The 25,287-nt window shown below is 36.5% G+C and overlaps 1 protein-coding gene across 2 annotated transcripts in view; it reads left to right on the top strand.

Annotated features, from left to right (window-relative positions):
- ADAM10 (ADAM metallopeptidase domain 10) overlaps positions 1 to 25,287 on the top strand; it is a 160,899-nt gene that overhangs the window by 107,603 nt on the left and 28,009 nt on the right. For both annotated transcript variants that reach the window (NM_001320570.2, NM_001110.4), the window contains 4 exons: positions 1,145 to 1,328; positions 8,746 to 8,909; positions 14,222 to 14,405; positions 20,484 to 20,634. In NM_001320570.2, coding sequence (NP_001307499.1) covers positions 1,145 to 1,328; positions 8,746 to 8,909; positions 14,222 to 14,405; positions 20,484 to 20,634 — 683 coding nt within the window. The remainder of the gene's footprint in view (positions 1 to 1,144; positions 1,329 to 8,745; positions 8,910 to 14,221; positions 14,406 to 20,483; positions 20,635 to 25,287) is intronic.

Here is a 25,287-nt window from a genome sequence, read left to right as displayed (position 1 = left end):
CTACAGCATGTCTTCAAGCATGGACTATCTGTAACATACAGTGTGCTTGCTTTTGAATTGTTTTAGTGTTAAATGGCCGTAACTGATTGTTTTTCGTTAATTGTTAATAGATAAACCAGATGTTCTGAAATCTGTTCTTAAGCAGTTGCCCTCAATGGTGTTTTTGCCTCCCTGCTTCTGAGCCTCTTGGTTTTACTGGAGAGTACAGGTCATAAAGAGACCTGTAGCTCTTGTTGTATCAACCATTATGTCATCCTCTTACTGCCAACATTTTCAAACAGACTGAGGTTTGCCTTTCGGTAAAAACATTTACTTTCATATTGTAATTCCTTGGCTTACCTGGGGAAAGCCAAATCGTTCTAGGACTTCAGAGGAGACACACAGGTCTCTGAAAGGATGCAGGGGCTAATAAATAAAAGCTTTTGTTTAATAGAAGTCTGGTATTAGAACAGATTATTCAGATTCTGAAGGAGGAACCTGTGGTAGGAGTATAGTAGCTAAGTATCAAAAGAAACATTCTGGAAGAACTCAGCTTCAAAGAGTAAAAGAAGTGAGTTTAAATTAGCAAAATTCTTGCCCACATTCAGGAAAAAAAAATAAATTTGCAGTTAGTTTGGCTTGGCTCATGTGACTCTCTAGGCAAGGAAAACCAGGAAAATGATTTGTCTGCTGAACTGACAGTCTTGGGTTTGATACCTATTTTATATTCTAGTAATTAGTTAAAATACAGGGTTTTATATCCTTGTAAGTGTCACCATATGTAGGAGATTAGGACTAAAGGAGACTTGTTCAGAGAATTAAATTTGAAAAACTATACTTCCTTTACTAAAGGTTTTGAAAGCAAAACTTGTTTTTTCTTCCCAAGTGTTCAGTGTTCAGGAATCTGGTGAATACTTGCTCAGAAATTTAACATCTTCAATTTTAATTTCCCTACCTAGCCTTTCTTTTTTATTTGTTGTTATTGTTTTGCCTTCTGTGATCAGCTCAGGGATGTGGGCAGTGGGAACAACCTTAGAAGCCTTAATTCAGGCCTGATTTCCATGGGAGCATATTGTCCAGGTGTACGCAGAAGAAGGTGAGCAGACATTCACACTAAAGCTCTGCTAACATTAATTACTTACTAAATTATTGTTTTGGATTTTAGATCAATACAACTGCTGATGAGAAGGACCCTACAAATCCTTTCCGTTTCCCAAATATTGGTGTGGAGAAGTTTCTGGAATTGAATTCTGAGCAGAATCATGATGACTACTGTTTGGCCTATGTCTTCACAGACCGAGATTTTGATGATGGCGTACTTGGTCTGGCTTGGGTTGGAGCACCTTCAGGTAGTTTATCATATTAAATATGTCTTAACTTACTACTTGAAACAAAGGGGAGTTTTCAGAGAATGTTGAATTTTCAAAGTATAGGAGAAAGTGATGCCTGTATAATATCCTAATTTATGCTACTTGAGTTAGGCAAGACTCATAAGCATAATGTAAAAGCCACAATAGATGAAGGAGCTTTTTATTTTGAAACGCATACAGGGAAATATCCTGATTCCTGACATTTGAATGGACCAAATGAAATAAATAATTTTATGAGAAAAAGTGGTAATTCTGAAACCCAAAGGGAAATTTAATTTTTCCACAAAAGTTAATAAATGTTATATATTTATTAACTTTTTTCCCCTCCAAAATAGGGTACTTAGAATCAAAAGAGGAAAACTGTGTCTTGCTCTCTCTTCTGTAGTGAGATAAAGAGGAGAGAAATCCTCATCAAGAGTGGCAGGTAAAAGGAAAAGAAAGCCTGCCTTTATTATTTTATTTCTAGCCTTTATTTTAATAAAAGGGAAGCACTGCATGAAAGAGATGTAGGCAGGAAGCCCCTGGTACCCACAACTCCATTGACATCATCACCTGGGTTCATACTCTGCCGAGTCTCTGCCTTAGCCATGAAAGCTATTGTCATTGATAATGTTGGGATGGGACAATACCCTTCCCATTACAGTGGGGGTGGAGTGTTGTGGAGGAGCTGTGATTTACTGTATAAGTTCAGTTGCCTAGTTTAGAAATCCAAATTTATTAATTGAAAGATGAGTGGAAAGGACCCCAGGCTCTTTGAATATAAATTGTGCCAAGTAGAGTTTAATCAATAGTATATTATCTTCTGAGCTATATACAACAGATTCTCCTTCTGATACTTCATTTCTATGTTTTTTTTTTTAAAAAAAACTTCTGCTTTATCCAGAGTAAGAGAAGCTTTTGTATTCCTATTCTTATTAGTTTATTCTTTGATTTGTTTTGTATATTTTAAGATCTTAAGTAGTGCTGTATTTTCCTTTGTATTTCTTTCTCCTTTTTTAAAAGTCAGTATCTTAAGTCAATACTTTTACAATTTCCATAGCTTCTTTTGTTTTTCTTCTATGTTTTAAAATGTACTCAATTTCATGATGTCATTTTAAAGTATAAGTTTATGTCATGGGCTGCATATTAATAGTGCAGTACTTTTGGATATTTGTCTTTTATGATAATCTGTACTTTTTTGTTACTTGGATTAGTCAGCAGATTGTACAGCTCACTCTTTCCTATGATTTTTCATGTTCGAAACTTTCATACTCTGAAACCTCTTTGCCCCTTCAATGGTTGGATGATTTTATCACAAAGTCTGTGATTTCTTCTCCCTATTCATTAGTAAGTACTACTAAAAACTCAGGGTCTCATATGATTTTATTTGTATATTATCCATTAATACAGTAGCTGTGAAGTCTCAAACAAGTGGTTCTCCAAGTGTGATCCATGGACTAGCACCATCAGCATCACCTAGGAACTTGTTAGAAATATAAGTTCATAGGCACTACCCCGGTCTCTTGAATCAGAAACTATAGATGTGGAGCCCAACAGTCTTAGTTTGAACAAGTTCTCAAAGTGATTCTGATGCACAGTGAAGTTTGAGAAGCACCACATTAATATTTTTGTCTCTAAAGCTTGCTCACAAAATGCCTCCTGGGTAAGTGAGTATGTGATCTTAAACTAAAAACTTTCTGCCATTTTGCATTTTCAGTTACAGACTATTGTACTTAAGGATGTAATGATTCTGTAGGAATTTGGTAAAATTCTTCCTAAATCTTCAGATATTCTCATGTCTTTAGATTCAGCTACTCATTTTGTTGTAAAAAGTAAGCTTTATTTTTTAGAGCAGTTTTAGATTTACAAAAAATTGAACAGATTAGGTATTCTCAAATCTCCTTCCTCCCTCCCCTGACAGTTTTGAGGAGTACTGATGAGGTATATTTTAGAATGCTCCCCTATTTGGAATCTGTCTGATGTTTTCCTTATGATTAAACTGTAGTTATGGGTTTTTGGGACACTCAGTGTTTATGTCTCATTGTTTGTGATATTTGGATCACCATTTGTGATGCTGCTCATTTTCCTGAGGTGGGGAGAGTTCTGGATTGAAAATGGTGGGGCATGTTACTTGTATTTTCTTTTTTTTTTTTTTTTTTTTTGAGACAGAGTGTTGCTCTGTCACCCAGGCTGGAGTGCAGTGGCGCGATCTCCGCTCACTGCAACCTCCACCTCCCGGGTTCACGCCATTCTCCTGCCTCAGCCTCCCGAGTAGCTGGGTCTACAGGCGCCCGCCACCATGCGTGGCTAATTTTTTATATTTTTAGTGGAGATGGGGTTTCACCGTGTTAGCCAGGATGGTCTCAATCTCCTGACCTCGTGATCCGCCCGCCTCTATTTTCATTATTAGGGTCTTCTTAAAGGTGAAACAAGATACTTCCTGTGTACTTCATGAGCAAAAATATGGTGATTGGCAACCAGAATAGAAAACGAAGACTCCCGTTGTCAACTTTGTATCCCCATTTTCCCCCCCTCTGCTTTTTTTCCTTTTATATTATTATCTCTCTTTCTTTCAGACATTAGATGTCCGCTTCCATTACTCTATGTTAAACCCCCAACTTCAGCTCTTGGAAGCCATCTTCTAAGAGCTGCTGGGGAGGGGCTAGGCAGGCACAGAAGAATAGAGGCCATAGTGGGAAAGAAAAGGGATCTTTGTTCCTTTGGTCCAACTTTTTCGAGTGTAGGTTACCTGCCTTGAAATAACACTGCCAGCTTCTTCACTTGTCTTTGCACTTACTACTAGCTGAACTGAGTTTCATATTTGACATTTTTTTTTTTAAAACAAGGAATGTTATATATTTATTCTTGATTATTTCAATACCCTTATGAGGTGTAGGTATTATTGTCTCCCTTCTACAGATGAGGAAACTTGTGTTCAGAAACTTTGTGACCAACCTAATACCACACAGCTAGAGGTGGAACAGGATCTGGAATCTGGACCTTTTGACTCCAGATTCAGTTCATTTGGTAATTATATTACTAGGTATTTTATATATATATAAATACAATCTACACACACACACACAGTAACATCTTAGCCTTTTCTTTGATGTTTCAAATAAGAAGCTGAAATGTTTTCTGCTTCTTAGTAGAGGTTATACATTGGTGGAATCTGTTTTCTTCTTTCTTGAGAGAGAAGAGTTATAAAATCATACTAAGCTATAATATTTTGATATAATTTTGGGTAATTGTCATGGCATAATGGGAAGAGCAATGGACTGAGAGCTGGGAGACAGGATTCTTGTGTGTTTTCTGTCTGTAAATTCAGGAAAATCATTTTGCTTCTGGCTGTTTTTTCATTGTAGTTCTGTCTTTGCCCTTCTTTTGAGTCTTCATGTTTCTACCTATAGGTCTTATCAGTTAACTGAATGAACATAGTCTCAGTTCGGCTTGGTCGTTGAATGAGGCTGGCTTTGGAATTCATCTCTACAGTTAGTCCTGAAACCTTCAGTACTCCTCTATTTGTGAAGAACATCTTTTGAGGCATTTCATTTGGTAGAAATAGTCTCTTCTGTTTTCTTTAGATTAGATGTTTTAGTTTGATATTACATATTAAAATTTGAGAGCGTACAGAACTTAACACAGGGTTCTCGGGATAACCCACAGCTTATTGAATTCTTAACCCATAGTTTAAAAGTATAACTTCAAATGCTGGGAAAATTACATCATTGAAATATTGCAATAGGACACTTGCTATTGGCATTTAATGCTTGTCTGGATCCCTTGGATATTTAACATCTTTGATCCCTACCCATTGCATGTGAGTAGTGCTCTCCAGACTTGAAAGCCAAATGCCTGTGCTCTCACATTTCCTGGTATCACTTGTGGGAGTATTACTATGGTCTGGTCCAGAATTATTGCTTACATTAATATTGTATGATCAGCATGCTACTATTAATTTTTGGCCTCCTCACATCAAAACTGTATTTATGGAATATGTCAAGGTATCATATTACTCTTGTATTTTTTTCTAAGACTTTTTTTTGGGGGGTGGGGTGGAGTGGGTCTGTTTTGAAGTTTAGGACAGATACTCTAACTTTAGCTCTCAAACTATCCTGTAGATAGAAAATTGTCATTATACTTCTTTGTTGCTTATTGAATCCTTCATCAATAATTACTTTTGACCCGAATTGAAAACGTTTCACCCTTCTCATTGTTATTCACAACTTATGTATTTGTCAGTGATAAATATATGTATAGTAAAATCTTAAATTTAAAATATATAGCAATTGAGTTTGAGTTAATGGTTTAGCTGTGGGTATATATGATACCTCATTACTGAGTTTTCTGGCATATCAAAACTAGTTGCAGTATTTAAAAAAATTAAACCATAACTTTCAGAGTTACAAATAGTATTTTATTTCTTCCTGTATAATCAAGTTACTCCAACATATGCTATTAGCCTGCAACAAATATTAAACTTCCTTTTTTTTTTTTTTTGAAACGAAGTCTCGCTCTGTTGCTCAGGCTGGAGTGCAGTGGCATGATCTCTGCTCATGGCAACCCCCGCCTCCTGGGTTCAAATGATTCCCCTGCCTCAGCCTCCTGAGTAGCTGGGATTACATGCATGCACCACCTCGCCTGGCTAATTTTTGTAATTTTAGTAAAGATGAGGTTTCAACATGTTGGTTATGCTGGTCTCCAACTCCTGATCTCAGGTGATCCGCCTGCCGCCGCCACCCAAAGTGTTGGGATTACAGACGTGAGCCACTGCGCCCGGCCATTTTAAACTTTCATATAAGCGATAATCATAAAGACCAAAAGCAGTTGTTTAAGAAGTTAGGCAATATATAAATTACTATATTTCAGAATAGTATATTCTAATTTATGTATACTCTTCTCTTAAATTAGCCAGACCCTAAAAGTGCAGAAAAATGTATATTATCAGAGATTTAAAAATATGCCTATTTACTTTTTTTTTTTTTAACTGATAAAGATTTGAAGTGTGGAGTCTTCTATGCTTAATTCAAGTTTGACAGTACTGCATTGGACCAATTTGCACATGACAAATCTTCACTAAGGCAGGATATTAATTTACTATTTGTTTAAAACTATGCTGTGTGTACAATAATTATTATATACAGAATACTTATTTATATATTTTCTGGTTTCCAGAAATAATGATGTGCTTCTCAGGACTGAGCTCCAAAAGTAGAACTAGCTTGAAGAAAATATATTAAATTCTCACAAATTATTTGGTATTTTCTCTCTACTCAGTTGTCAGTGTAGAAAAGGTATTAAATTTTGAATATCATAAAAGTTCTCAACCCCTTGCTGGGTTAAATTTGCATGTGACTCCAGCTATTTGTCCGGCCTATAGTCTCAGGTCACTCATTTTAATGTGCATATACATCACCTGAGGTGGGCAGAGTTCTGGATTGAAAATGGTGGGGCATGTTATTTGTATTTTCTTTCTTTCTTTCTTTTTTTTTTTTTTTTTTTGAGACAGAGTCTTGCTCTGTCACCCAGGCTGGAGTGCAGTGGCATGATCTCTGCTCACTGCAAGCTCCACTTCCTGGGTTCACGCCATTCTCCTGCCTCAGCCTCCCGAGTAGCTGGGGCTACAGGCACCTGCCACCATGCCCTGCTAATTTTTTGTATTTTTAGCAGAGATGGGGTTTCACCGAGATGTTCTCAATCTCCTGACCTTGTGTTTCTTTGAAACACATTTTTCTTTTCAGCTTTCTGAATTTTAACAGTAATTCAAATTTGTATTTTGTTGCCATATATTTATTATATTTAATGGGAGCAAGGCAACAGTCGTAGTATAATGCTGTTCTTGCAGACCTATTTTGAATTGCCTTCTGTTACATGCTTTATTAGGGATTCTAAATACTAGACTTGTTTTTGAAGTGGGGAGAATGGGAAGGGGAGGAGAAGCAATATTAGACTTTTTTTAAATGGTTTAGTAACTTTGTTGTAACTTGTCTATAGAAAGCTAATTAGAGCAGTTATCGTAATACGCTTATCCATTTGATTGTATTTCTTTTAAAAATCAAATAGGGAAAACTTTAAGTATAAATATAAACTAAATAACTTCTCACTGAAAATCTTATAATAAAGTTAATTAAAAGAAAATATGATCTTACCAGTGTAATGTCTATATAAAGGCATGAATTGACCAGATGGTTTCTGATTTTCCTATTATTATTTTTCTGATTTCTCTTAATTGATTTTAGCTGTGAAAGCACTGTCATTTGCTGTTAAATTCTAAAGTCCCTGTTAATGAATAGATGAAGTACAAAATGATAAAAATATTTAAGTGGAAATATGGTTTTTCTTTTAAAATTTGATAGTGTCCTAAAGACATACTGGAACAATCATAATTCAGTTTTTAATTTTTTTTTGAAGATTTCAAACCTGCGGAAAGGTTGCAAGAATAGTATGGTGAAATTCTTCTTCTTTTTTTTTTTTTTAGACAGAGTGTCACTGTGTCGCCCAGGCTGGAGTGCAGTGGCACAATCTCAACTCATTGCAACTTCCACCTCCTGGGTTCAGGCAATTCTCCTGCCCGAGTAGCTGGGATTACAGGTGTGCACCACCACACCCAGCTAATTTTTGTATTTTTAGTAGAGATGGGGTTTCACCATGTTGGCCAGGCTGGTCTCAAACTCCTGACCTCAAGTGATCTGCCTGCCTCGGCCTCCCAAAGTGCTGGGATTACAGGCGTGAGCCACTGCGCTCAGCAGTGGTGAATTCTTGATGGATTAATCAATTATTAACCTTTTGTCGCATTTGCTTTCTATCTCTCCCTTCCTTCCCACCCATCTTCTCTTTTTCCTTCTTTCCTCTACCCCCTCTTTTTTTTTTTTTTTAACCTTCTTGACATGATTATTTTCTATTTTTACAAATACATTGTATGTCATATCTCAGGACAGGGAATCATGTGCTCATGTGCCTCACTGCTTCTTGTAGAAGTGACTTTCTCAGAATCTTCTTGAGGATATTTTGTTCAACTTTCATTTAACTTAAATCATAAGATTTCTTTTTAAAAGATGAAAGGATGTACACTTTGACTTAGTGTAAATACTGATATATTCAAATTGAAAGGAAATGTAAATATTTGTTTTCCTAAATTAATGGGAATAACATTTGGGGGACATTTTGATTGTGAAGAACATTTTGTAAAGGCTGTGTACTCAGTCCTGGGAGTTTCTTTCTGAATGTCATTAAAACTTTTATATGAAGTGACTTCTTAGTCTTGGACCAAAGAAACTTTTGCATATGTGATACGTTTGAGTACCAGTTCTATTTTAGATTAAAATATAAAATGTTTTCATTTAATATAGCATGTATTACCTTTTTGGGGGTAAGGGGAAACAGATACTAATTTAGCCATTTTTTTGTTCTGGATTAGGAAGCTCTGGAGGAATATGTGAAAAAAGTAAACTCTATTCAGATGGTAAGAAGAAGTCCTTAAACACTGGAATTATTACTGTTCAGAACTATGGGTCTCATGTACCTCCCAAAGTCTCTCACATTACTTTTGCTCACGAAGTTGGACATAACTTTGGATCCCCAGTAAGTATTGTCTAATTATTAGCTTAAAAAATACTTATTAGTCTAATTTTTATGTTGAGTGATTTATTTAAAATTCACCGTGAAAACAAATGTACTTACGAGTGTTTAGTTTTTATGTCAGAGCACAGTAATGTATTTGACCATACTGAAAGGGAGGAAGATAGAATGTTTGTGGTTAAAGTAAGAAAAGTAAGCATAACAGTGCTAGAATTCTGTGAAGGCAAGGGATTTCATCTGGCTTATTCAGACAAAATATCTATATCTCCTGGCCCTAGAACAATGCCTAGTACATAATGTACTCAAATATCTTTTGAATGAGAATCATTATTCATTGTTTAAAAGTACATTTTGAATGTTCAGCAAATTGTGAGAAATTCTTTTTTTGTTTTGTTTCTGTTAAAGCATTTTTAGGGAATGAGATTGATATTTTAAAATCTTTTCTCTACTGTGGAATGAGATTGATAATTTAAAGTATTTTCTCTACCGTGGAATGAGATTGATATTTTAAAATCTTTTATTAGGAAAAAATTCTAACATACACAAAAGTAGAACAAATAGTGCAACAAAGCGTTATACGCCCATGATTCAGAACAGGGATCAGCAAACATTTTCTGTAAAGGGCCTACTAGTAAACATTTTAGGCTTCAGGGGCAGTGTTTGGTTTCTGTTGTACAGTCTTTGTTGCTTTTACAATTTGTTAAATATGGAAAAGCCATTCTTAGTTAAGCCATATAAAAACAGGCTGCTGGCTACTTTGTCAACCCCTAATTCAGAGCCAATAATTGTGAAGATTTTGACATATCTTCTATCTGTATTTCTTTTTCTTTGCTAAGGTATTTAAAGGAACTCTATCTATCCTTACGTATTTCAGTACACATTCCTGAAAAAATAGACATTTTCTAATACAACTACAATGTGGTTATTACACCTAACAAAATTAACAGCGATCTTTGATATTATCTAATATCCAGTCCATTATATTGATCTTTTAAGTGACCTTAAAGATCAGTACAACACAGAAATATGAAATACTGAATGATACTCTGTCTTTGTGATTTTGGTAGAGCTTATTAAAGATAACATTTTGAAAATGTACACTTGAAAACTGTATGTAAATTCATTTTACTTTCACCTTATCACTTGCAAAAGTGCAAATTTTTATGATTTTAAAAATAAGTTGTCTACTTGTAGCTTAAAATCCCCAAATGCACTTCTCTAATTTTTCCCATGTTTGTAAAATAGGTGCCATCTCACTAAGTTGCAAGTCTTTCTTCTTCTACATCCCAATCAGAAATTGATAGATTATTATTAATGTTCTTGGATAAGGTATTTAAAATGTGCTTAATCTCTGTAACTCTTGACTGCTTTTGTGATCTTCTCTTAAAAGAGTACTTGGAATTTTAGAGATGAGCAGAGAATTATTGTTCATAGTTGATTTGCATTTTCAAGAGCAGATAAGTGTCCTCTCTTCTCCCCAAGTCATCTTGGTTCCAGGCCTTACCAGGGGAATTTTAGTACTCCTCCAGCTACTTGTCTGGCCTTTAGTCCCAGGTCACTCATTTTTATGTGCATATACATCACCTGAGAATCTTAAAACACAGATTCTTTTTTAGTAGGTCTTTGATGGGGCCTGAGTTTCTGTATTTCTAACATACTCCCACATAATGCTGCTGCTGCTGCTGCTGGTGCTCATCTGTGAACCACACTGCAGTAGGGAATCTAGACCATTCTCTTTTCACTTCTTGTGTAATCTCTTTCCTACCTAGCTGCCAGTGAGATGTTTTTATTCAATTAATGTTATATTATTGTTTAATGGAGAAATTGGTTCACACTCTTTGCCTACCACGCTCAATCGTACCCCATTCTTTTGCACATGTTGTTAATTCTGCCATCTGTATCCGTAGTAGATGGTTGTCTTCATCTGTTTTGTGTTGTTATAAGGGAATATCTGAGGGTGGGTAATTTATAAAGAAAAGAGGTTTATTTGGCTCATGATTCTGTAGGCTGTACAAAAAGCATGGTGCTGGCATCTACTCAGCTTCTGGTAAGGGCCTCAGGCTGCTTCCACTTATGATGGAGGGCAACAGGTGCTGGCATGTGCAGAGATCACATGGTGGGAGTGGAGGTGGTGGGAGCGTGGGGTCAAGGAGAGAGGAGGTACTAGGCTCTTAACAGCCAGCTCTTGCAGAAACTAAGAGAGTGAGAATGCACTCACCCACCCACCTCCAACCCTTCAGGAAGAGCATTAATCTATTGATGAGGGATCTGCCCCCATGACCCAGACCTCTCTTGTTAGGCCCACTAACAACTTTGGGATCAAATTTGGGGGGACAGACATCCAAATTATACAATGCTTAATAAATATTTGTTGAGTAATTTAATAGTAAGATCAGCCAGAATCATAAACACCTGAACCTGTCTCCCTTAACATCTTTATCTGAAATCTCTTTCTCTCTTATACGTTTGTAGTAATGTCAATGTTACTTTTTCTGAGTGGTTCACATTATTTCTTAAATGTATTTATCCTATCTGAAATATTTATTGTGCACCTATTATAAACTGCTTTATAAACTTTGTTGTAGGAAGTTGTAATCATAAATGAGACAAAGTTCCTGTCTCTCAGGGTGAAAATTCTAATATGTACCTACTCTCACCAGATTCACCTTCATGTAAATACAGTTCTAATAATGCCACTTCTGCTTACTAACTCACTTCTACTACTTTCTAATATTGCTGATACAATTTCCTTATCTTAATGTTTGGGGTGTTTGATAATTTGGGGTTTAAGTATATTTCTAGTGTTATCTCTCCTCATCTGTCAAATTAATTCACAGACCTTTAAAACTTTCCTCCGCTAGGAAGTCAGTTCCTTCCCATGTCTGCCTGTTGAAATCTTGATCCGTGTTGTTATATGATGTAAATGAATATGGCCCTTAATAAAAATTAAGAAAATATGACCATCATAGTTTTATTTATAATACCAAAAAGTTTTAAGCAGCCTAGATGGCCCTACAGTATGAAAATACCACGGAATGCTCTGCAGTCATTTAAATACCAAGTTTTGCAGTGCTCATTTTATACTGTTAAGCTGAAAGAAAGGTGTGTATAACTGTACACATGGAGGGTAGCTGTGGTGACTCACACCTGTAATCCCAGCACTTTGGGAGGCCGAGGTGGGCAGATTGCTTGAGCCCAGGAGTTCGAGACCAGCCTGGGCAACATGGCGAAACCCCGTCTCTACCAAAAATACACACAAAAACAATTAGCTGGGTGTGCTGGACTGCACCTGTAGTCCCAGCTACTCGAGAAGCTAAGGTCGGGGAGGATGACTTGAGTCCAAGGTTGCAGTGAGCCAGGATCACGCCACTACACTCCAGCCTGGGGGACAGAGTGAGACTCTGTCTCAAAAAAAAAAGTTATAACTGTACACATGGTATAGTCCAAATTTTAAATTAAAATGTGATACAGCTAGATATAAGTCAGATAGGAAATAGATCAAAATTTTAATAGTTATAGTGCATGGTAGATTATGATTGAATTTTTATTTATGCATTTTTGTTTTCTTAATTTTCTTTCTTATAGTTAGACAAATTTTTCTGTTTTCTTGTCACAAAGATTATAGTTTCTTAGTGAAACGCTTCTCTTGATTTGAACTCTGAATACTTGTGCGAGTCCAGTCAAGATGGCCTTTATGTTCTGTTTTGTGTTTTGCTTATTCATGTGCTTGTTTTATTCGTTATCTGAGGATGGCAAATAGCTGGCATGCTTGCTTACAACCTGTTTCCCCTTCTATTCCTGTTAATGGTGATCTATTGTAATATCTCCTGGCCTAGTAAAATAATAATTGACTAGCAATATCTGTAATGGATTTATGCAGCAGCAAGTCAGACTAAGCAGTTATGTCAAGATTTGCTATCATTTAAAAATAGAAGGTAAGTGCCTTGAAGGCTAGGGATAATACTTTTCTCATCTTTATATTTTTATATTTTAGTGCCTCCTTTTATAGCACTGGACATTCATTAATATTTACTGAATTGAAAAGTGGCAAGATATTCTGTGATGACATCAAGAGTTATACAGAATTGGGATTTTTTTCTTTCCTTTCTAAAACTCTAATGCTGAGAATAATTCTAGTGCTACACCTTTTTCAGAAACTGAGTTGAATTTTATAGGTTGAAAACATAAAGCAAGATAATATTGGTGAATAGTATAGAGTTGCTAAATGCTGCATCTAGATTCAGAAGAAAGGCAAGAGGTATCAGGAAGAATAAAGGTGATAGTAGAGGACACATTTTTTAATTTAACAGTTGCCTCAGAAGAGGGAATAGAAAATGAAAGTAACTTAGTTGGGCTCTAGGAAAAAACAGAACGTCCTTGGGCAGTCTTTTTCTTTCTTGAGAGTGGGGTTGTTGGGTATTTAAAACAAGATTTTAATTAAATAGCACAATTACTCTAGTGTCCAGTGTTTTTTGCCCCTTCTGATGTGTTCTGAATTGTTTGAGGGGCATTGTGAGGGTTGTTTTAGTGCATATCCCCAGGATGGTAGGGGCTGCTGGGATCTGGTAGTAGTGTTCTGTTGCTTGGTCTCATAAGCATTACTTTGAGAAAATTCAGGGAGCTATGCTGTATGTATCTGACTCTTCAATAAAATTTATCAAAACCGAACACCACTTATGTGCATTTATATGTTACGTGTACACAGAACTCTGTTTATTTGGCAAAGCAGTATTTTGGTTTTATCTCTAGGCTTTTACCATTTTTCATTTAAAAATATATCATTGTGTTTCTGTTCCTAGTCAGCATTTTTACTTACCTTTCCTATATATTGGCTATTAAGTTAGCTGTCTTAGATTCCTGTTCTGTGTGTATTTAGCCCCATGTCAGTCTCTTGATTCTTTTGTCTTTCCCCACCTCTGTCTTCTCTGAACTATTCATAACATGTAATTTAACATATGTGTTAGAGACTATTTAGTAGTTTTAAAGTAGTTTATTTTACTGTTACTAGTTTTAAAAGTATGTGAGCTTATTTTTAATAGACTTTTATGACAGTCTGTCCTCAATTCTAGTCCCTGCTTACAAAGCTATAAATTGTTATGGCTAGACCTCCACTGATTTTCCTCCTTTTCTAAGACAGTGACCCCTAAAAGAGCAAATTCTTTTCCTACTCAAGGTGTAAAACAATTGTAAGATCCTTTTTAAAGGAGAGTCCACAAGCTTCCATTGTTTTCCTGATGAGAACATTACGTTTAATCAGTTGACCTGAAAACCTTATTTTACTTCCTGTTTATGTAACTTTATATTCTTTTTGACAGCATGATTCTGGAACAGAGTGCACACCAGGAGAATCTAAGAATTTGGGTCAAAAAGAAAATGGCAATTACATCATGTATGCAAGAGCAACATCTGGGGACAAACTTAACAACAATAAATTCTCACTCTGTAGTATTAGAAATATAAGCCAAGTTCTTGAGAAGAAGAGAAACAACTGTTTTGTTGGTATGTATATTTTCCTAACGTTTTGTTATGAACATTTTCAAACATTCAGACAACTTGAAAGAATTCTATAGTGATTACTGACATACCCACCACCTGCATTTTACTATTGCTAACACTTTGCTGTATTCCCTTTATCTCGTTATTTCTTAATCTTGCCATCTCTCAATTCATGTTTTATTGCAATTTAAAGTAAGTTGCAGCCATCAGTATACTTCACACCTAAACATTTTAGTCTGCAAATCATTAACTAGAGTTCAATATTGTTTATAGTTCTTTTTCTGTTTTCTGCATAAGTGAAATGCACAAATTTTAAGTGCATCATTTGATGAGTTTTGACAGATGCATTTACCTTTGTAAACTACCTATCAAGATACAGGACATTTCTGTCACCCCGGAACTTTCTTTTATCACCCTTCCCAATCAGGCTCTGTCCCAACACACCCTCAGAGGCAACCACTATCTGATTTATTTCACTCTACATTGGCTTTGTCTTCATATAAGTGAAAGTATACAGTTTATACCCTTCTGTGGAAGGCTGTTTAACTCAGTATACAGCTTTGAGATTCATCTTTAGTATTATACTCCTTTTTATTGCTGAGTACTATTACGTTGTATGAATATGTCCTAGTTTGTACATCTACTCTCCTATCATGAATACCTTGGATTTGGGCTAATGTGAATAAAGTTACTATGAAATTATTTCTTATTTTAGTAAAATATATATAGCATAAAGTGTGCCATTTTAAACTGATTTTAAATGTACAGTTCTGTGACATTAATTATAGGTACAATGTTGAATGTGAATGTAATCAATTACATTCACTCTTCATTTGCAAACTTTTTCATCATCCCAATGGAAATTCTATAACCATTAAGCAGTAATGCTCTGTCTTCCCCTCAGCCCCTGGTAACCTCTAATCCACTTTCTGTCTTTATGAATTGGCCTATTCTGGGTATCTCATGTAAGTGGGGACATACAATATTTGTTCTTTCGTGCCTGGCTTATTTCACTTAGCATAATATTTTCAAGGTTTATCTGTGTTGTAGCATGTATCAGAGTTCCATTCCTTTTCACGGCTGAATAATACTCCATTGTATGTATAGACCAGATTTTGTTCTTCCAGTCATCTGTTATGTCTTTCTTGCGGCATTGAACATACTCTAAATATTTACTTTGTATTAGGGTTTTTTTGTGTGTGTGTGTCCTTGTCCTATTTCACAAGACCATAGGTTTCTTTAGGGGAAACACTGAGGCCTATTCATCTTTGTACATTAAGAGCACTGAAAGAGGGGTTAAACATGTGACAGCAAAGGAGAAAGAATTCAGGAAGATTTCCAGATAAGCATGGGATTTTGTTTTTAATTGAAATTTTATTGAGATAATTAATAGATTCACATACAGTTCATAAGAAGTAATAGATTCCCTGTACCCTTCACTCAGTTCCCTCCGATGGTAATGCCTTGCAAGACTGTAGTACAATATCATGACCAGGATGTTGATATTGAGAAAATCCATAGATACTATTCCAATTTCCCTAGTTTTTTTTTTTGTTCTCATTTCTCTTTGTATGTATTTAGCTCTATACAATTTTATTACATGCGTAGATTTATGTATCCACCATCACAATCAAGAATCAGAACAGTTCTGTCATTACAAGGATCCCTCATTGTTTTATAACCATGCTTACCTCCCTTCTGTTGTCCCTTCCTCCCCCCTGCTACCCTGTTCTCCATATGTAAAATTTTGTCACTTCTAAAAAAGTTATATAAATAAAATCAGACAGCATACAACCTTTTGGAATTGCCTTTTCTCACTCAACATAATTCCCTGGGGATTCATCTAAATTATTGCCTTTATCAATAGTTCGTTCTTTTTTATTTCTGAGTAGTATTCCATGGTATGTATGTACTGCAATTTGTTTAACCATCCATTTGAAAGACATCTGGGCTGTTTCCAGTGTTTGGCTATTATGAATAAAGCAGCTGTAAACATTCATGTACAGGTTTTTTGTATAAACATATAAGTTTTTACTTTGAGATAAATGCTCCCAAATCGAATTGATGGACCATATAGCAATTGCTTGTTTTGCTTTGTACAAAACTGCCAAACTCTTTTCCAGGGTGGCCATACTATTTTATGTTCTCACCAGCACTGCACAAATGATCCAGTTTCTCTGCATGTTCACAACCATTTGGAGTTTTCACAGTTTTTTATTTTAGCTGTTCTGATGGGCGTGCTGTGATATCTCATGGTTTTAATTTGCATTTCTCTGGTGGCTAATGATGCTGAACATCTTTTCATGTACTTATTGGCCATTTATAAATCATCTTTGATGAAATGTCTGTCCATGTTTTTTGGTCATTTTAGTGATCATTAGTGGGACTTTTTTCTTTTCTTTGGAGTATTGAGAATTCTTTATATAGTCTAGATACTAGTCCTAGATACTGGTTTGCAAATATTTTCTCCCAGTCTGTAGCTTGTCTTTTCGCCCTTTTCACAGTTCTTTCGTGGAGCAAAAGTTTCACATTTTGATGAGGTCCAGTTAATCAGTTTTTTATTGTATTGATTGGCATTATCTTTTTCTTTTAAAAGGGCAGATTGAAATTACATCTTCAATCTTCAAAAACTGATGTTATCATTTTTGTTATTGTTATTGTCAGTGGTTGTTTTTCTAATGCTTCTTAATGTACAGGTACATTAAGATTCTTCATTTGTAAACTGGGTTTTCACAGTAAACCTTCTGAAATAAGTTGACTTTTAAAAATGTACATATTGCTTTGTAGGTATTAACAGGAAAGAAAATTTTTTCTTAAATTATAACAAAATGTGTACCTATTATAATTTTTGCATTTAAACAGTATTTTTAGGCCAGACAGAGTGGCTCATGCCTGTAATCGCAGCACTTTGGGAGGCCAAGACAGGGAGATTGCTTGAGGCCAGGAGTTCGAAACCAGCCTGGCCAATGTAGCGAAACCCTGTCTCTACAAAAAATTAAAAAATCAGTGAGGCATGGTGGCGTGCGCCTGTAGTCCCAGCTACTTGGGAGGCTGAGGCACAAGAAATTGCTTGAACCCAGGAGTTGGAGGTTGCAGTGAGCCAAGATCGTGCCACTGCACTTTAACCTGGGCAACAGAGCGAGACTCTGTCTCAGACAAACAAACAAACAGTACCTCATTGTTGTTTAAACTGTTAGCAAATAACTAACTTGAAGTACTAATTTTATATGAAATAAAAATTAATATGTAGTAAATAATGTATGTAACATTTTCTGACTTCGTTATTTGTTTTCTTATAAATTACGTGTCATGTGAATTATAAAATTATTACTAGACTTGTAAAAATCATTATTCACCTAGTATATATGTGCAGATGCATGTTTCTAGTTTTTTTTGTTTTTGTTTTTGCTTTTTTTTTGAGACAGAGTCTCGCTCTGTCACCAGGCTGGAGTGCAGTGGCACGATCTCGGCTCACTGCAACCTCTCCCTCCCAGGTTCAAGCGATTCTCATGCCTCAGCCTCCCAAGTAGCTGGGGCTGCAGGAGTGCGCCACCACGCCTAGCTGGTTTTTTTGTATTTTTAGGAGAGACGGGGTTTTACCATGTTGGCCAGGATGGTCTCAATCTCTTGACCTTGTTATCCACCTGCCTCGGCCTCCCAAAGTGCTGGCATTTACAGGCGTGAGCCACCTCGCCTGGCCCCCCCTTTTTTTTTTTTTTTAAATTTCACTTTAAGTTCCGGGATACAAGTGCAGAATGTGTAGGTTCATTACATAGGTGTACGTGTGCCATGGTGGTTTACTGCACCTATCAACCCATCATCTAGGTTTTAAGCCCCACATGCATTAGCTGTTTGTCCTAATGCGCTCCCTCCCCTCACCTTCTACCCCTGGACTGGCCCTGGTGTGTGTTGTTCCCCTCCCTGTGTGCATGTGCTCTCATTGTTCAACTCCCACTTATGAGTGAGAACATGTGGTGTTTGGTTTTCTGTTCCTGTGTTAGTTTTCTGGGTATGATGGCTTCTAGCTTCATCCATGTCCCTGCAAAGGACGTGATCTCATTCCTTTTTATGGCTGTGTAGTATTCCATGGTGTATATGTATCACATTTTATTTATCCAGTCTATCATTGATGGGCACTTGGGTTGATTCCATGTGTTTGCTATTATAAATAGTGCATGCTTCTGGTTTTTGAGAACGAAAGAGATGGTTTAAAGTGAAACAGGGATGAAGCTTCGATGACCTCCAAGATTTTAAAAAATAGTCGATGTGGTTAAGAATGAACTTTCTGCTTTCATCTAGGCCAGTCTGGCTCTGGAGAGCAGGTGCCTCCACAGCAACATCCCTGGGGGCCCTGAAATCAGGGTTCAGCTAGGCTCCTATGTGCCCTGAGGGTCTGGGTTCCCAGTCCTGTTGCCAAGTGGCTTTGTCCCAGATCCTTTCTTCTGGGCTGATGTGAGTGCATATGTTTGTGCCAAGCTTCTGTTTTATATTGCACATATAAATAAAGGAAGATAATTTACCATAAAGAAATAATTATCTGAATATAAAGCCAGTCTTTCTAGAACATTTTTGATTTAGATAGGCCTCATGTGGGTTTCCTGTGTTGAGATGTATGGGTTCCTGTGTTGAGATGTATGTGTTCCCTTCTACTTATTCAATTCGCAACTTAAAGCCTGTACAATGACTGTTTTCCATGTCGATTTGGTGTAGGAGAAAGAAAAGAGCACCAGATCGTAGACCTAGAAAACCCTAGATATAGTCTGTGTTTTGCCTATACTGGGATATATGGTCCCTAGCAAGTTACAGACTCCTTGGAAGTTAGTTTTATTTCCTAGAACATTTAAGGCATTTGATTTTTATCATTCTCTGCAGTTGCTAAAGCTCTTTGATTTTATGATCTTACAAAGAGGAGCATTTCTATTCCAATTTTAAATTCCATTGACAAAAATCAAAGAACTTTAGAAGACTGCTGAAGAAATTTTCTAAAATTATTCACTATGCTTAGATGAGACTGTCTAATCTTAATCAACCAAGATCTGGCTCAATACCATTAAGGTCTGTGAGAATACAGAAGATATAAATAATACATGTTTGTTCCCTTAAGGAGCTTGGTTTAGTTCAGCAGCAAAACTAATGTACATAAAAAAAATTACCTACTGATTGTATTACAATCAGCTAAATAGAATGTGGGACATTTCATAGACAAAATCACCCAACTTCTTTAACAGATCAATGGTGTAAAAATAAATAAAAATGGAGAAATCTATTACACGTTAAAAGAACATAAGAGACCTGTCAAAAAGCAACCATGAGGGGAGGAGTTGGGGTTAGGGGAACCTTGGGTTTGAAACTTGATTCACAGCAACAAATTGTAAAGAGACATTTGAGGAAAATTGAACATGGCTTGGCTGTTAGATGTTATTAAGCATGCTATTAATTTTGTTAGATATGATCATGGTTATTATGGTTAGGTTTAAATAAGAAAAAAACTTTATGTCATAGTGATACATTCTGAAGTATTTACAGGGACAATAATATGTTAGGTGGGGTTGTTTTAAAATACTCCAGAAAAAAACTGTGGGAGTAAGTGAGACAAGAACAGCATATTGTTGTTGATAGTTGTTAAAGATGAGTGATTGGTACATGGGAATTCATTGTACATATTCTTTTATTACTTTTAGGTGTGTTTGAAATTTTCTGTTGCAAAAAAAGGCTTAATTTTTTTTTTTCCTGGTTAGTGAAGCACTAACTTGGTTTGTATTTGTGTGATATGAATAGAACAGTCAATAAAGCTCAATGTAGCATGGCCTAAGTTGCAAGTTACAGCTTCTAGAAGGGACCCTCTGTCAAATCCTCTCACTGTACAGATTGAGAAACTGAAGACCCCAAGATTGCATTGCTAGTTAGTAGCAGACCCCCTGTTAGAATTAGGTCTCGTAATTTCCAGATTCCTAGTTTGTTCTACTTATTCATCAAAGTTTTCCTTTATCCCTTTGTTATGATGATCTAAAGAATTTGTGAATTTTAAATAAAATTAATGTGTGCACACAATGCTTACTTTGTCTTGTTTATTTTCCTCAGAATCTGGCCAACCTATTTGTGGAAATGGAATGGTAGAACAAGGTGAAGAATGTGATTGTGGCTATAGTGACCAGTGTAAAGATGAATGCTGCTTCGATGCAAATCAACCAGAGGGAAGAAAATGCAAACTGAAACCTGGGAAACAGTGCAGGTACCTTGCTAATTTCAGTGATGTTAACATTCTTGTAAAGTTACCTCAATGCAGTTATGACAAATTTAAAACTGAGATTAAGAGATGCATATGGTTTTGAAACTTTGCTTTTATCTGTTGTTTGTTTTCTTTTTCTGAAGTAGTGTTGGTTACTGCTCTGTTATTGGCAGATTGAACTACTTTTTTTTTTTTTTTTTTTTTTTTTTTTGAGACAGGGTCTCGCTCTGTTGCCCAGGCTGGAGTGCAGTGGCATGATCTCGGCTCACTGCAACTTCCACCTCCCGGGCTCAATTGATCCTCCCACCTCAGCCCCCTGAGTAGCTGGGACTATAGGCATGTGCTACCACACCCAGCTAATTTTTGTATTTTTTTTTAGAGACAGAGTTACGCCATTTGCCCAGGCTTGTTTGGACTACTTTTAATAGTAATTTGTGTGGTGAATGTTAACAAAAGGACATACTCAAAGGACATACTAAAAAGAATCCTAAAAAATACATATTCTTGGCCGGGCGCGGTGGCTCACGCCTGTAATCCCAGCACTTTGGGAGGCCGAGGCGGGTGGATCATGAGGTCAGGAGATCGAGACCATCCTGGCTAACAAGGTGAAACCCCGTCTCTACTAAAAATACAAAAAATTAGCCGGGCGCGGTGGCGGGCGCCTGTAGTCCCAGCTACTCGGGAGGCTGAGGCAGGAGAATGGCGTGAACCCGGGAAGCGGAGCTTGCAGTGAGCCGAGATTGCGCCACTGCAGTCCGCAGTCCGGCCTGGGCGACAGAGCGAGACTCCGTCTCAAAAAAAAAAAAAAAAAAATACATATTCTTTAGTTACTTATTGTGAAAATGTAACTATCTTCCATATTTTAAAAATCTTAACTTTAAATATTTAGTTAATGTGGAATCCATTTACTTTTCTAACTTGGCAAGTTATAACTATTTCACTTGTCAAATTTACTTTGGTAGCAGTGTAAGCAATTGTTTGCACAATACTTTTTTTTTTTTTGAGATGGAGTCTCAGAAAAACCTGTCACCCAGGCTGGAGTGCAGTGGCATGATTTCAGCTCACTGCAACCTCTGCCTCCCAGGTTCAAGCAATTATCCTGCCTCAGCCTCCTGAATAGCTGGGACTACAGGTGTGTGCCTCCATGCCTGGCTAGTTTTTTGTATTTTTAGTAGAGTTGGGGTTTCACTATGTTGGCCAAGTTGGTCTTGGACTCCTGATCTCAAGTGATCTGCCCACCTTCGCCTCCCGAAGTGCTAGGATTACAGGCATGAGCCACCGCACCCGGCCAGTTCAATATGTTTTAAACGGCTGGTCTGTATATCCTAGTTTGATTTTAGTATGAAAATGGGAGAGAAAGCGATAAATTAACTAATGTGTGATGTAACTGAAAAAATACTGATAAATTGCCTAATATTAAATCCATTTTCCATTGTAGCCTTTTCCTAAAGGTGAACAGGGCAAGAATGTGGAATGTAGTATGCTTTGACTATTAAAAAAAAAAGTCGCACACTTTTCTTGACTGTTTGGCTTAGTAGCTTCCTATTCCTTTTTTTAAATTTTTTTTTTTGAGATGGAGTCTTGCACTGTCGCCCAGGCTGGGGTGCAGTGGCGCGATCTCTGCTCACTACAAGCTCCGCCTCCCGGGTTCACGCCATTCTCTTGCCTCAGCCTCCCAAGTAGCTGGGACTACAGGCGCCCGCCACCACGCCTGGCTAATTTTTTGTATTTTTAGTAGAGATGGGCTTTCACCTTGTTAGCCAAGGTGGTCTCGATCTCCTGACCTCCTGATCCTCCCGCCTTGGCCTCCCAAACTGCTGGGATTACAGGTGTGAGCCACTGCACCCGGCCCCTATTCCATTTTTAATTGATACATAATGATTGTACATATTTATGAGGTATATGTGATATTTTGATACATGCATACAATATCTAATGATCAAATCAAGGTAATAAGGATATTTATCTCCTCAGATATTTATCATTTCTTTGTCTTGGGAACATTTTAAATCTTCTATTTTGAAATTTACAATTAGTTATTGCTAATTGTAGTAACTTTACTGTGCTATCAAACACTAGAGCTCATTCCTTCTATGTGTTTGTACCCATTAACCAATCTCTCTTTATCCACCTCTCCACTACCCTTCTCATCCTCTTGTAACACCATTCTACTCTCTAACCTCTATGAGATCAACTTACTTTGCTCTCACATATGAGTAACAACATGTGCTGTTTGTCTTTCTATGTCTGGCTTATTTTATTTAACATGATGACTTCTATTTCCGTTCATGTTATTGCACATGACAGTATTTTGCTCTTCTTTGTGACCAAATATATACCACCTTTTCTTTATCCATTTGTCTCTTGGTGGACACTTAGACTAATTCTGTATCTTGGCTATTGTGCATAGTGATACAGTAAACGGGGCTGTAGGTATCCCTTTTATATACTGACTTCCTTTTCTTTGGATGTATACCCAGCTGGATCATATAGTAGATCTATTTTTAGTTTTTAGAGGAACTTCTATACCAGTTTACACAGTGGCTATACTAATTTATATTCCCACCAGCAGTAAACTAATGGTTCCTGATCTCTGCATCCTTGCCAGCATCTTTATTTATTTATTTTTTTGATCATTTTGATAATGGTCATTTTTACTGGGTGTATCTCACTGTGGCTTTGATTTGTGTTTCCCTGATGATTAGTGATATTGAACATTTTTTCATGTACTTGTTAGCAATTTATATGTCTTCTTTTGAAAAATGTTTATTTAGGTCATTTGTCTACTTTTTAATGAGATTATTTAGTTTTTTGCTGTTGAGTTGAGTTCCTTGTACATTCTATCAGTCCCTAGTCAGATGAATAATTTGAAAATGTTTTCTCCCATTCAGCAGATCGTCTCTTCACTCTGTTGATTGTTTCCTTTTCTGTGCAGAAGCTTTTTAGTGTGTGTAACCCTATTTGCCTATTTTTGCTTTTGTTGTCTGCAGTATTGAGGTCTTACTCAAAAATCTTGGCTCAGATCAATGTCCTGATATCTTTTCCCAATGTTTTCTTTTAGTAGTTTCATCGTTTCAGGTCTTAAATTTCCATCACATTTTGATTTGGTTTATGTATGTGGTGAGACATAGGGGTCTAGTTTCATTTTTCTGCATATAGGTATCCAGTTTTCCCATCACCACTTATTGAAGAGACTGTCCTTTCCCCACTGAATGTTCAAAAATCACCTCGAAAATCAATTGGCTGTAAATATATAGATTTATTTCTGAATTCTCTATTCTGTTTCATTGGTTAATGTGTCTGTTTTTATGTCAGTATCATGCTGTTTTAGTTGCTATAGCTTTGTAGTATATTTTGAAATTAGGTGGTGTGATGCCTCCAGCTTTATTCTTTTGGCTATTGGCTTCTGTGGTTTCATATGACTTATAGGATTGTTTTCTCTTTATCTGTGAAGAATGTCATTGGTATTTGGATAGGCATTACATTGAATCTGTAGATTGCTTTTGGTAGTATGGCCGTTTTCACAGTATTAATTCTTCCAGTCCATGAACATGAAATGTGTTTTTTTTTTTTTTTGACTTGTTCAGTTTCTTTCATCAGTGTTTCATAGTTTTCCTTCTAGAAATTTAATAAACTCACCTCCTTGCGTTTATTAAACTTACTCTTTTTTTTGCAGCTATTATAAATGAGATTGATTTTCTGCTATTTTCTTGTATATAGAAACACAACTGGTTTTTTAATGTTAATTTTGTATCCTGCAACTATTCTGAATTCATTTATCAATTCTAAGAGTTTTCAGTGGAGCTTTAAGGGTTGTCTATATATATAAGATTATGCTGTCTACAAACAGGAACAGTTTGGCTTCCTCCTTTCCAATTTGGATGTCCTTTATTTTCTTCTCTTGCCTAATTGCTCTGGCTCAGACTTCCATTACTATATTGATAACAGTGGTGAGAGTGGACATTCTTGTCTTGTTCTAGTTCTTTTTTTCTTACTTATTTTACCTGGTGATCAGGAAGTATTGTTGGGAAACTTTTTTTTAATTACTGATTCAATCTTGTTACTTGTGATTGATCTGTCCAGGTTTTCTATTCTTATTTCAATCTTGGTAAGTTGTATGTGTCCAGGGATTTATTAATTATCATTCGGTTTTCCCATTTATTGGCATATAGTTTATTGTAATGGTTTCTAATGATTCTTTGTATTTTTGTGGTATCAGTTATAACGTCTCCTTTTTTGTTTCTGATTTTATTTGGATATTTTTTCCTTGTCTAGTTAATGGATTGATGATTTTATCTTTCCAAGAAACCAACTGTTCATTTTGTTGATATATTTTTATTTTATTTTTTTATTTTTTTATTTTTTGAGACGGAGTCTCACTTTTTTCCCCAGGCTGGAGTGCAGTGGTGCAATCTCGGCTCACTGCAAGCTCCGTCTCCTGGATTCACGCCATTCTCCTGCCTCAGCCTCCGGAATAGCTGGGACTACAGGTACCTGCCACCACGCCTGGCTAATTTTTTTGTGTTTTTAGTAGAGACGGGGTTTCACCGTGTTAGCCAGGATGGTCTCAATCTCTTGACCTTGTGATCTGTCCGCCTCGGCCTCCCAAAGTGCTGGGATTATAGACATAAGCCACCGTGCCTGGCCTGATTCTTT

Source organism: Homo sapiens, chromosome 15 (genome assembly GCF_000001405.40).
Source record: "Homo sapiens chromosome 15, GRCh38.p14 Primary Assembly".
NCBI lineage: Eukaryota > Metazoa > Chordata > Mammalia > Primates > Hominidae > Homo > Homo sapiens.
Note: the sequence above shows the minus strand (reverse complement) of the source record. Positions and strands in the feature narration are given on the sequence as shown.